The following is a 14,101-nucleotide window of genomic DNA, read 5'->3' on the forward strand; positions in this document are numbered from 1 at the left end:
AATTCCTAGAGATCCTTGGTGCCCTGCTCTCCATCCTGTGCATCTGGGTGGTGACTGGCGTGCTAGTGTACCTGGCATGTGAGCGCCTGCTGTATCCTGATTACCAGATCCAGGCGACTGTGATGATCATCGTTTCCAGCTGCGCAGTGGCGGCCAACATTGTGTAAGTCATCCCCTGGTCCCCACACACTGCTCATGAGGCTCTCCTGTAACTATCTGGACAAAGTCGACCTTTTAAAAAACTCAGTACATGTGAAGATGGTAGAGACTGGACAGAGTGTTTGAATGGCTCTAAGATTGAAAATAAGGTTGACTGCTTTCGTTTAAGCTAAAGTGTTTTTTAATATTGGCTTCTGCTAGCTATCATGTTTTGAAAGCTTCTGGTGTGCTAGAGGCAGGGTTAGGATGTTTGAATATATATTACCAACTTTAATGTTCACAACACCCCTATGTTATAGATTAGGAAACTAAAGCCCAGTGAGGTTAAATACACTGCCAGTTAAGTAGTACAGAGCCAGGATTTTAATCCAGATTCGCAGACCCAGAATTGAGCTGCTTTACATTCTGCTCTCAGGCATGCTGATGGTTCCACATGGGGCATGACTTACTACTGTTCCATTTCTATGGGGTGAGCAGATGGTGGCTTCCCAGTGAGCTGGGTGGAAAGGGACTCTAAAATGTATTTACTTCAGTCCCCATTTTACTTTTGCATTTTCTTTTGCAACATTTCCATAAAATGGTCATTAGTTTCATATATTTTAATAGAACTCATAAAAGGAAATTTATTTCCCTCAAAAACAGCCTCTTTTATCTTTGCAGCATTGTGACTGCATGAAAATTCTTCCTTATGCTATGTTAGTTAAATTCTCCCTTAAGTTTCAACCTGCTTGTCCATTCTTTTATCTAGGCAGTCTTAAATCATTCTTACAGGAGATGAGCATATGTCCCTTGACAAATGAGTCTACCTTTCCCAAAATGAACTACTGGATTGCCCAGGCAATGGGGTTTTGAGGCCAGGACTTTGATTTTTTTGAGTCAAATTTCTCCTTCCCATTTGAGGGTCTAATTCTGGGCAACTCTACTTAAAACTCCATCCATCCATCTATCTATCTAGTGATCTAGCTAGCTATCGTGTTGGTGGACAGAATAATGACCCATTCTCCTAAAAAGCTTTAAACATCCTAACCCCTGGAACTTCTGAATATGTTAAATCATATGGCAAAAGGAACTGTGCAAATATGATGAAGGATATTAAGATGGGAAATTATCCTTGATTATCCAGGTGGGTCCACATAATGACAAGCGTCCTTATAAGAGGGAGACAGGAGATCAGAGAGGAGAGAAGATGCTGTATTTCTGATGTTGAAAATGGAGAAATCGGCCTGGAGCCAAGTGGCCTCTGGAAGCTAGAAAAGACAAGAACATGAATTTCCTTCTAGAACCTCCACAAAGGATGCAGTCCTAGAGACCCACTTTAGATTTCTGACCTCCAGAACTATAATAAGTTTGTGTTGTTTTAAGCTGCTAAAGCATCATGGTTATTTGTTACAGAAGCAATAGGAAACTCAGCCTATTTATCATCTGCCTATCTATCTTGCAATACAACTTGACACATGCTATGAGGTAGATTTTTACATGAAGGTAGAGAAGACAGTGATCGAAAAATGAAGTTTTAAACAGTGGATTTTAAGAGGGGGCACAATGACATCTCTGGAATTCAAGAATAGCTGAGCATGTACACTTTGAAAAAGGTCCTCAGGTCATTCTAACAGCCTTGCCCCTTGACATCTCACTTACTCAGCTCTCAGTTTGTGAACCATTGCTCAAAATCTCTGAGCTAAATAATTAGAAGAATGGTGTTTGATCTGCTGTCACTGACTAGATCCCCATCTTTAGCCAGTTAACTTGAAAATGTGTTTCACATTGGCACTGGGAGAAAAAGTGTGAGTAGATCAATGTAAATCTGTCACCTCTAGGAGACAAATATGCCAGAGCACACATATTGCTGACTACGGGTCAATAAAGTCCGCTTTGCATAAGGAGAACAATATGGTCTTGAGGCAGAAGGAAGAATGCAAGTATTAACTTCCTGAGAGTCATATGTCACTTAGGCTGTCTTGATGCTACACAAAGATGAAGGCTACAAACCTACCCAACTATCACATCAATCTGGGGCCTCAATGATCAGGTTTGATTTTCTAAACAGATATCATCCAAATTTTCTTTTTCTCGTAACTGCTTTTGAACATTGACCTTAACATTGCAGGTGCTTTTTACACTCAGAAAGTCAAGGCAGTTGGAAAGCTCTGCCTTCTTTGTGCAAGTAGATAGTTATTTATGGATAAGAATGCTGAGTGACTATAATATTTTCTCCAAGAACTGGGATTACAGGTTTCAAATGCTGCTAGATGCTGTATTGTTTGAATATAGAGATATCGGAATTGCGATTCAGGAATAAATCTATTCCCTGGGGACTCAAAATCAGGACAGAAAGTTCCAATAGAAGTTGTGAAGAGATTCTAGGATGAAGGTTATAAATACAGCCTTAAGGCTATTGCCTGCTAAGTTTTCACTGCCTGAAACATTTCCTCCCATCAGCATATTTAACTCTAGCTTAAGCTTTTGAATTCAACTCAGCTGCTACGTCTTTCTAACTAAATCAGATTCCTCTGTTGTATTACCCATAGTACCAGTGGACTTATTGTAATTAGAATTTTCCACTTGTGTGTGTGTGTGTGTGTGTGTGTGTGTGTGCGCGCACATGTGCGCGCGGTGGGGGAGTGGGGTGTTTAATCTTTACCTTCTCCAGCACATTTAAAGCTACACTGGGGAGTGACCACAACTGTTTTCACTCACCTTTATGGCCCAAGCTTTTACAAATGTCTGCATATGAGTGACTACACAAGTTTTTTTCCTCTCTCTTTTTGTCAATAAGATGAGTAAAAGAATGAATGACAACGTGATGAACACACATGGCAGATCAGATGAGGTTCTATGATCTGTCAGCCATATCAGGCTGTCTAAGGAACCTTAAATGTTAACTCCTAGGTGAGAGTGAATTTCTACCCAAACAATGAACACCTGAAAACTGCACATTCAGTAGTGATCAGATCTAGATGGCTAGCGGTCATTCCACTTTGTGGTGATGACCTGAGATTTAACAGACACTTTACCTGAAAATAGAATGGGATACATGGTGTTGAACAATATGTTGCTGCTTTTAAATCTTTGTTCCAAAATGTTTAGAAAAAGTTCAGAAAGGCAAAACACTGTTAGCTGTCAGTGAAAATGTTCTAATTTTACGTTTAGTCTAATACCTCTTAAAGTTATAGATAAACAGAATTATGTACATAGTTTGTAGTGTTTGCTACTGATCACTTTGACTCAGACAAGAGATGCTCAGCTTTGCAATATATTGTGTGTATATGTATGTACACATACAAGATCATTTTTCATACATTAATATATTTCTACTTCTGGATTAATAGCTTTATATACATGAGCACAATATTCTCATCATTGGACAGTAAGAAATCATTCAAATTTAAAATTCTTTTGAAAATGCACAAAATTAGGTAAAATAAAACCTCAATAAAATTCACTACTTATCTTATTTTTCCCTTATTTATCCCTTCCTGTGTTTTTTGCATTTGAAACCAGTACTTTTAATTAAGCTCCCAATGAAGCTTGACTTTAAGCCAGCTTGGTGCCTGACAGTCAGTCAACCTTCAATAAAGGAGATTTCCTCCCTTCATTATCAAATGCTTGATTTTCATCTAAGAAGTGATGCTTTCCAGTTTCAACATGAAACAGATAAACATTAGGTGGATGAATGAGTAAACTGGATGGGTCTTTGTGGTTTGTTTTTGTATAAAAGTATTAAAATTCTATGACATATGTATTTAAACATTAGTCAAAGATAGTTCTTTTTAAAGCATAAATATTTCAACTATCCATCATTTTGGATAATGCATGTTATTGCCAGCTTCTCCATTATGCTGCCTACGTTTTTAAGACTGACCTCATGTGTGCTAAGAACATTGTTCTCTCTTTCAGACTAACTGTGGTTTTGCACCAGAGATGCCTTGGCCACAATCACAAGGAAGTACAAGCCAATGCCAGCGTCAGAGCTGCTTTTGTGCATGCCCTTGGAGATCTATTTCAGAGTATCAGTGTGCTAATTAGTGCACTTATTATCTACTTTAAGGTGAGTTTGAGTTTACCCACCATCCTAGTACTTATGTAGATTAGGTAGTACAGAAGCTGACCCTCCAACATTAACTTAAAGAGAATGGGCATCCTCTGTTTACCTATACAAACTACTTTGCAAAGCTAAAGCAAGCAAACACTCAACCATGGTGTTAAGATGAACAGCAACAAAACTGTGAATACCTTCAGGTTCTTGGATTATAAGCAATAGGGAACATCTCTGGCTCACTTTAGCAAAAAGTATATTTATTGGCTGAAATTTATTGGATGTGCTCCTAGACAGACATCAAAGTAGAAATAAGGGCAAATTTTGATATCTAGGTTTTAGAAACGATCCAACTTCTGTCCCAGACACCACACTGAAATAAATGTGTCTCAACAAATTTTTTTTTCTGTTTTTGTCACTTCTGAAGAATGATATTTCTGTGAACGGGAGTCCAGTTGACCTAGGTTGTGTCTTGTATCTGCTGCTTGGCCGAAGGGAGGTTAGAGCACCTGATTTATTGTTCCACCAGTATTGCCCACAATGGGGGAGAGGTAACTTCTCCCCCAGAAGCCAAGGTGCTAATGAAAAGTGGGAATGACTTCCCGGTAAGCCTCTGACCCTAAACAAATAAATATCCACTGCAGATCTCTACCTGGTAATACTGATAACAGAGATGGGTTAGCAGGCAGAGAATGGAGAAGAACATTTAGCTCTGTCTGTTTGCATCACAATTGTCTGATTTGCAGAGACTCACAGCTTTTCCTAAAAAAGTGAAAACATGGAAAGAAAAATTACAAAGACATATCTAAATTCAGTTGAGCAAAATGATCACTGAAAGCTTTAGGTCTAAGGCAAAACTAGTTTGAGGGTCCACTTACAAAAGTTGAGTTGATGCTGAATTTCTTAAAGATAGTGGGGCACAGACTTTTCTGTGGCATAGAACTTTCTCAAGGGTAGAAAAGCAGACATTTCACCCTGAGGCGACTGAGCAAGGATGATACTTTGGTTCACACCTTTAAGACTGCATCAAAGATGCCAGCCTTGAGTATGTGCAATACTTGAGAGGCAAAGAAATAAACTCACTCCAGTCAGCCAAGAGCATAGTCCAGCTGTATGCTGGCCACATGCAATTTCTGAACAAGTTATGTCCTTTCTTCTGCTCATTATAATTAAGGCCAAAAAGTCTTTGGATCTTGTGGGCATATTTGTGCATACTTTCATCACATACTCTGTACTTTTATTAATCTGCAAGAAGTTAAATCAGGGCTCTTGAGAGCAAACTTAAGAATATTCTTCCTTTTAGTTCTTAAATTATGGGGAGAGCATGACTTGTAGTCTCACTTCTTTATTTGCTGGTAGTTTAAAGCTGAAAGGAAGGATTGAGTCTTCAAAAACAAAGTCTTCCCTCTCAGTTGGATGACACATGTCAAAAGGGTAAATGAGTGACAGAGAAGGAAAGACACAGGGAGGTTTACTTATTTTATTAATCAGACTTTCTGAAAGAGAGGTATGAATTCAGTTAACCAAAATCCCTGTTTTTTTTTCTAGCCAGAGTATAAAATAGCCGACCCAATCTGCACATTCATCTTTTCCATCCTGGTCTTGGCCAGCACCATCACTATCTTAAAGGACTTCTCCATCTTACTCATGGAAGGTAGGAGTGATTTTATTATTACTCCCAGAGTCAGTGTTTTCTCTTCCCTAGAATCACAAAAGGGAATGGCTACAAGGCATGCTCACTGTTAATTTGAATTATGGGAAAAATTTAAAGTGAAAAGGAATTTTTGTGAAAACAATCATTTGATTTTTTTTCCTATGGGAACAAGTAAAAAGAACTGGCTTCTATTCTTGCTCTAGCAACTGTTATGTAATAGCTCACAGTGTAAAAACAGTAAGTATAAACACCATGCGGAGATACTACAAAAATATAAATATACCTGGAAAAGACCTAAGAAAAAAAACTACATAAGTTTACCCCCCAGGCTGCATTAGAGCTAAACATTTTTATCAAATTGTATCTCAGAGTAGAATAAAACAAGGGTGACCTTTTATTTGTTTGTCCGGCAAGTGTTTATTGAGCCCCAACTCTGTGCTAGGTAGTGTGCTCAGAACTAGAATTACAGATATGAGCAGAGCAGAACACAGCTCTCTTCTGAAGTTCTGGGCTGTAGTGTGCTATGAGGTTCAGGTGTCTGCACTAAGGTCAACATCAGTACGGCCTCCTGGGAACAGGGTGCCACTAGGTTGCCTAAGGAAGGGTGAACTGGCACAGATGAGAAACAGAGCAGATCAAAGCTCTCATGCTGATCAGTAGTAGGATTGTGCCTGTGAATAGCCACTGCCCTACAGCCTGGGCAACATAGTGAGACCCTGTCTCTTAAAATAAAGTATAGTAAAATAAAATATGGGCTGGGCACAGTGGCTAATGCCTATAATTCCAGGAATTACAGGTTGGGAGGCTGAGGTGGGAGGATTGCTTGAGTCCGGGAGTTTAAGACCAACCTGGGCAACATGGCAAAACCTCGTCTCAACAAAAAAATGCAAAATATTACCTGGGCATTGTGGTGCATGCCTGTAGTCCCAGCTAGTCAGGAGACTGAGATGGGAGGATCGCTTGAGGCTGGGAGGCAGAGGCTGCAGTGAGCCGAGATGGCACAACTGTACTGCAGCCTGGGTGACAGAGTAAGACCCTACCTCAACAAAATAAAATAAATAAAAAAAGCTTTGTCCTCATGGGGATAATACTTTAATAAGAGGAGAAAGAGATTATTCAAAAAATTACACAGAAATGCAGTAGTGGGAACTGCTACAAAGAAGAGGTGTGGGCCTCTTATTAGAGATCTTAACACGGCTGGGAGCAGGGGCCAGTGGTCCCAGAGGCTTTGCTAAGGCCTGCTCTTAGCCCCGAGTAGGATCTTATGTTATTAACCTCATCATCTACAGCCCCATTATCCTTGACTACTCTCCTGGGCCTGTGAAATTTCTCTCTGGGCTCTTTGAGTCTTCCAACTGTCCAGGAATAGATCACATAAATAACCCTCACTGCAAAGAAATCCGTCCTTATGCCTAAAGCTTACTGCCTGCCTCCTCTCCCCCATTCTGCAGTTTGGTGATTTTCTTTTCATTTGGCATAAAATGGTTGAAGAACTACTGGTTTCTGCCCTTTCTAGGCTACATCTTTACTGGCAGAGTTAGCGCAAAGAGACACATCATATAGTTGAAAAAGCAAGATCTTTGTATCAGACCCACCTCTGTTCAAATGCTAGTCATGCAAGTTTCTAGCTGTGAGACCTCAGACAATCTCCTCTGAACTTCAGTTTCTCAACTCAAAAATGGGAATATCACATCCACAATATAGTGTTGTTGAGAGGATTAGATGAAATAAATGGCATTATGTCTAGAACACAGTAGGAGCTCAGTAAATATAAACTCTCAGCTAGCATTTTGGGTTGACTGGAATATAGGAAATATGAAGCTACATTGTGGAGATAAACACTGTACTGTATATTTATCTGCACAGCAAGATATTCTCAATTTTTGGTTATAAACTGTGGCCATAGAACCAGTCAATCATAGATGCTGATGGCCTCAGAAAGGCCAGATAAGAGAGTCTTGATCAGAATAAATCCATCTTCATTACTAGAAGAACCATTCAGTAGTACTTGAAATGGGAGAACTACTGACTCCCATTGACATTATCTTGGAATATTAAAGTATGTCAGAGAGTGACATCAGCAAGATGGCTGACTAGAGATGCTGGGGCTAGTCCCCCCGGTAAGAAAGGGCCAAGGCAATAAATAACCAGAGGAGATTTGACTGGAGCATCAAAGGGAAAGTGTGGGAGTGCAACCTAGGTGTCCAACAATAGATGAATGGATCAAGAAAATGCAGTGTATATACACAATGGAATACTATTCAGCTATGAAAAAGAATGAAATCCTGTTATTTGCAGAAACATGGATGGAACTGGAGGACATTATGCTAAGTAAAATCAGCCAGGAAATGAAAGTTAAACACCACATGTTTTGGCTCATATGTGGGAGCTAAAAACAAATTGTTCTCATAGAAGTGAAAAGTAGAACAGATAGCAGAGGGAGGGAAGGGGAAGAGTAGGATAGGGAGAGAGTTGTTAAAGGATGCAAAATTACAATGAGATAGCAGGAATAAGCTCTAGTGTTCTATAGCACTACAGAATGACAAGAATATAGTTAACAATAATATATAGTTCCAAATAGCTAGAAGGAAGATATTGAACATTCCCAATACAACGAAATAATAAATGTATGAGATGATGAATTTGTCAGTTACCCTCATCTGATCACTATGAATTATCTGTATGGCAACAGCACTGCATGTCCCATACATATGTACAATTATCATGTCAATTTAAAACTGTTTAAAATTTAAAAATAAGGTTTATTGGAGACCTGAGGTACTTGATTATATTTACAAGGTGATTTATCATTGCTACATTGGCCATTTGTCGTTAACAAATGATATTATTTTCTATCTTACATTCCAGGAAAACAGGTATTATGAAGGACTTGCCTAAAACCCTTATTAGACTAACCCAGCAGTTCTCAAACTTTAGTGGCATCAGAATCACGTGGAGGGTTTATTGAAACACAGATATCTGAGCCCACTCCCACAATTCTTGAGTCAGTATATCTTATTGGGGAGTAGGAGGAGCAAGAATTTGAATTTCTAACAAGATGCTGGTGCTGCTGGTCCCAGGACAACACTTCAGGAACCACTGGACTAATCTTTTAGTACCACTGAAGGGATTCCCACATGCTGGCCCTGGGAATGGCACCTGTAAAATTCAGTGAGAGCTAGAAGTTTGCATCATATCAAACATCCAGATGATTGAAATATCCAGACATTAGCTGATTTTTTTTTTTTTTTTTTTTGTCCAGCACATTTTGACATAAGGTAGATCTGGTCTCAGAGTGCAGTTGCCTTCAGTGACAGCTCACACTTCGTTAGTGTTCACTGCTAAGTATACATTTAAAGGTTTGTTCTTGGTGGTCACTATAATTGTTGAAAGATAATAGTGTTGACAACAGTGAAATGGATAACGGAGTCAAATGTCACAGAGTAATAGTGAATTTTCTGTCTCTAAACATGAGAATATTTGGTTTGTCAAGCCACAGAAGCATCCATTTTCTTTCCTGAGTGCCGAATGCTGAGCTGCAGCTGTTGTTGCTATTATGGAAGTTATTGACTTAAAGAAAGATAAAAGACAAGTTGGTGTACAATTTGAAATGACTTATATTCCGCTTTTCTTTGTGTGTCTCGCTATAGCTCTTCCCTGGTGATTATCTTTCTTATTTTACTTCAGGAAAAGTGCAGAGACTGGACTACGTCAGCTAGTTATAGAAACTGGCAGATAACTCCTTTCTGGAAGACACTTAATTTTTAAATTAGGTTTTCAAACTATGTTAGTATAGTACTTAGTAAAATTTAAAAATAATACAGAAAAGTATGAAATAATTTTAAAAAGTCTCCTTATAATTCCGTCTTTGACTTCTCAGTCCTATTCTTCAGGGATAATACCTGTTAATAAGTTGACATTTATCTTTCCAAAGATATTTGTGCATTTGCATATATATATATACATACATACATGTATATGTATATGTGTATGTGATGTAAGTGTGTACCTTTTTTTATAAAAATGGGATTACATATTGATTCACATTTTTTCTCTGCACCTGGCATTTTTCATTTGGAGATCTTTTATATTAGCACATACATAGATATACCCCATTCTTCTTCACAGCTGTAATTACTCCACAGCATGGAAGTACTTGCTTGTGATTGACATTATAAACAATGATGTAATTACTATAAACAATGATGTAATTACCACCCTTGTACATATATATTTTTAGCACTTGTATATCTGTGGAATAATTCCTAGAAGTGATATTGCTGTTTCAAAACTTACATGCTTTATTAGTATGTTTTTTCACTGCTCATAAAGACATACCTGAGACTGGGTAATTATAAAGAACAAGAGGTTTAATGGACTCACCGTTTCACATGGCTGAGGAGGCCTCACAATCATGGCAGAAGGCAAAGGAGGAGCAAAGTCACTCCTTACATAGCAGCAGGCAAGAGAGCTTTTTCAGGAGAACTCCCATTTGTAAAACCATCAGATCTGTGAGACTTATTCACTACCAGGAGAACGGTATGGGGGAACTGCCCCCATGATTCAATTATCTTCACCTGGCCCCCACCCTTGACACGTGGGGATCATTACAATTAAAAGTGAGATTTGGGTGAGATTTGGGTGGGGACACAGCCAAACTATATCACATGCATTTCAAAATTTGATAGATATTACCATTTCTACCAAAGATACAGTATCAATTTCTTTCCCCTCAACAGCATATGAAAGTGCCCCTTTCCTCACATCATCACAACCACTGAGTATTATCAAACTAACTGTTCATTCTTTTCTACTCTAATAGGTGAAATATTATATCTTATTGATTTCAAATGCAATTATTTAATTATGAATGATCAGTGGTTTTTCAAATACATTTATAAGTCTGGGAAGTTATTTATTAAACACTAATTTAGATATTTTCCTGGATGCATTAATATTTTTTCAGACTCCCCCCCAAGTAAAAGAAAGTTCTAGGATGTGATGGAGCATTGAGTCCAGTGGGGCCATGCCTCTTGCCTGGCAACACTATTTGTTATAATAAAATAAGTCATGGTGGACCTATGTTCTCTATAATAGTAATGAGATGAAGGAGACAAGTGAAAAAAGGGTAGTGGGATCATGACTTAATTTCAAAGGGCCTAGATGAATGATAGCAAGTCTTCAAATGGTCAACAGAACTTCCCCAAAGAGATGACACACATTAGGCATAACAGACAGTGTTTTGATTGCAATTCCTAGACTCTAGTATTTGCGTAACACTTTATACTCAGAGCACAGACATTGGGATCTGATATCCCTGGTTCTGCCACTTCTCTGTGTGGCCTTAGCAATGTTCCTTAATCTAACTGACCTCAATTTCCTCTTCTCTAGTTAAATAAGAATTGTAACCTTAATAACTAGCTTCTAAAGTTTTTAGGACTATTAAATGAGATAATTGCTATATATAAAGTACTTTGCACAAACTTTACACATAGTGGGCCCTCAATAAAAGTTTGTTATTATTATTATGACAATTTTACCCATGACTTTATTCACATTGTATGGCTAATTTGAGACAAGAACTCCTTTCATCTGCTTCTAGGAGCCTAGGTCTTTTGCCACTCATAGAGTAAAATAGCATGATAACCAGCTCTTTGTTACTTCCCCAAACAATATGAGGTAGGATCAAAAACTCAGCTCATGCTGTAGGGAATTTTGAGTTAACTCCAAGGAGGAAATCCCCCATGAGCAAGGTTCTTAGCCCATTTTTTGCCGAGTGTTCCATTATTGGAATGCTAAGCATGTGAGAGTTATTTATATCCTGCTCAAGGTCATTGCCAAGGTCTGATTGCAAAAATTCAAAAAATTGCAACCCCAGGCATAAATGGGTTAAATTTTTCAAAAGGAGGGTTAAGGGTTCCCCATTTCTTTAAGTAGATGTTTCTCAGTTCTAGCTGTTCATTATAATCCTCTGGGAAGCTTTTAAACAATGCTTATGCTCAGGCCTCCCATACCCAGTGTTATTAGGCTGTTCTCACATTGCTATAAAGAAATACCTGAGACTGGATAATTTATAAAGAAAATAAGGTTAATTGGCTCATGGTTCTGCAGGCTGTACAGGAAGCATGGTGGCATTTGCTTCTGGGGAGGCCTCAAGAAGCTTCCAATAGCGGCAAAAGGCAAAGGGGGAGAAGGCACGTCACATGATGGGAATGGAGCAAGGGCAAGGGAGGTGCTACACACTTTTAAATGACCAAATCTTGCAAGAACTCACTCATCATCGCAAAGACAGCACCAAGCCATGAGGGATCTGGCACCATGACCCAAACACCTCCCACCAGGCCCCATTTCCAGCATTAGGGATTACAATTCAACATGAGACACTGGCAAGGATAAATATGCAAACTATATCACCCAGAGATTCTGATTTAATTGTCTGGGGTTGGGGCTGGCTTTGGTATTTTTAAAAACATGTAGTCAGACTAGAGAACCACTGCAAAGCAGAGCTGCTCAGTGGCTCATGAATGTTGGTGCAGTGGTTCTCAATCTTGGCTGCCTGATAGAATCACCAAATGAGCATTGATGTTGGGCCTTATCCACAGAGATTCTGATTTAATTGGTCTTGGGTGTAACTTAGTCATCAGGATTTCTAAAATCTCCTCTGGTAATACTAATGTGCATCCAAGGTTGAAAACCACTCTGAAAGACTCTAGATTTTGGAGCTTCATCCATAGAAATTTCCTTTTAGGTCTGGAATGGAGTCGTGGTACATTTATTTTTAATAAACACCCCAGGTGTTTGTGTTGTTTGTACATAACTGAAGTAGAGGCTAAAAAAGGGCTGTACTTAGACATCTCTTCTACAGCATCCTCCAATGTAGCTAAAATAATAGAAAACTTACAAACCGAATAAGATGGTATTATACAATGTTAGGATCCTCTATTAGCACAGTTCACTAAATGACCTGTTGAGTAACTAATCTTTGTACAACATTGCTGTTCATAATGATTAGATATTTTCTGAATTGCTCCTCAAAGATCTCTGTGATCTATGTGTTGTTCTTAACACCCTTATTTTACTACAAATGTGCTGAGGGTCAGAGAAGTTCTGGGATTTGGGTAAATTCACAATAGTTGTCGTCAGGATGCTAACCCATGATTATTTGATACCAAATTTCATGTTATTTCATTTTACTTTCCAGAGTGTATATAAAGATAGTTGGAAAAGGCACAGTTAGTTTAATAGTATACCATAAAAACTAAGGATAATTACCATTGTTGGTTATTGCATAGTAAATTCTGCAAGTATTCTGAGTGGGAAATTTTGATTGATGGTAAACCTTGAAGTAGTCAGGTAAATCTTATTTGTAAACATTTGAAGTAAGAAACCAGCAAAGGGATGAACACATTGAAATTTTGGTGAGGACTTTGCAGCTTGTTTAGGTAATTCAATGAGCTGTATCTAGTTGAATAACTACAGCCTCCATCTCTTCCCTTTTGTCAGGTGTGCCAAAGAGCCTGAATTACAGTGGTGTGAAAGAGCTTATTTTAGCAGTCGACGGGGTGCTGTCTGTGCACAGCCTGCACATCTGGTCTCTAACAATGAATCAAGTAATTCTCTCAGCTCATGTTGCTACAGGTCAGTGAGTTTTGTAAACACCCTGGAAAAAATTCAGTCCTTGTCCTGTAAAGTCAGTAATTTCCCTTCTTTTTGTAGAGCTGCCCTTATTGTCTGTTGCTTGTCAAAACATTATAAAGTGTTTTCTATTACCAAGGGCCTTTGAAACCAGCCCACTTATTGATGTTGTCATAGCAACAATGATACCCACGACATTCTTGGGGCTGACTGCAGAGGGCTGAGGACAGACAGAACAAAGGACTAAAATGCACCCGCCACTTCAAGGCCTTGGACTCTGAATATTCAACTTCATCTGTTTGGCTTGGTGCCCTATCAGTCAAATAATAGGAATGAATTAAAAACTTAATCTTAATTGAGTATCTCCTATGTATAAGATGTTTTTCCTGGCACTGAAAATAGGAAGATGAAAGAGACACCAGCCCCACTCTTAAATTTCTAACAAGCTAATGGATGTGCTAATAGGAATTATGGTGGGGTCCCACACTGTATGATTAGAAATTCTGTAGCCATGTGAGAAAATTCTTATAATACTAGGTTTATACTAAAATTACTTTTTCAAGAAGTTAATTTTGTCTCTGATATGTCCTAGAGCTGGGAGGATAGGCAGTGGGAGG

At 38.6% G+C, this 14,101-nt stretch overlaps 1 protein-coding gene, 1 long non-coding RNA gene and 1 pseudogene across 11 annotated transcripts in view; 2 read left to right on the plus strand and 1 right to left on the minus strand.

Moving 5' to 3' along the window:
• Nucleotides 1–14,101, plus strand: part of SLC30A8 (solute carrier family 30 member 8) — a 226,498-nt gene that overhangs the window by 207,465 nt on the left and 4,932 nt on the right. For all 6 annotated transcript variants that reach the window (NM_001172811.2, NM_001172813.2, NM_001172815.3 and 3 more), the window contains 4 exons: nt 10–163; nt 4,057–4,207; nt 5,744–5,849; nt 13,353–13,487. In NM_001172811.2, coding sequence (NP_001166282.1) covers nt 10–163; nt 4,057–4,207; nt 5,744–5,849; nt 13,353–13,487 — 546 coding nt within the window. The remainder of the gene's footprint in view (nt 1–9; nt 164–4,056; nt 4,208–5,743; nt 5,850–13,352; nt 13,488–14,101) is intronic.
• The window catches only part of LOC105375716 (uncharacterized), a 436,284-nt gene that overhangs the window by 73,245 nt on the left and 348,938 nt on the right, over nt 1–14,101 (minus strand). The gene's annotated exons all lie outside the window — the stretch shown is intronic.
• On the plus strand, nt 6,287–6,574 carry RN7SL826P (RNA, 7SL, cytoplasmic 826, pseudogene; annotated as a pseudogene).

This window comes from Homo sapiens, chromosome 8 (genome assembly GCF_000001405.40).
Source record: "Homo sapiens chromosome 8, GRCh38.p14 Primary Assembly".
In the NCBI taxonomy this organism is placed as follows: domain Eukaryota; kingdom Metazoa; phylum Chordata; class Mammalia; order Primates; family Hominidae; genus Homo; species Homo sapiens.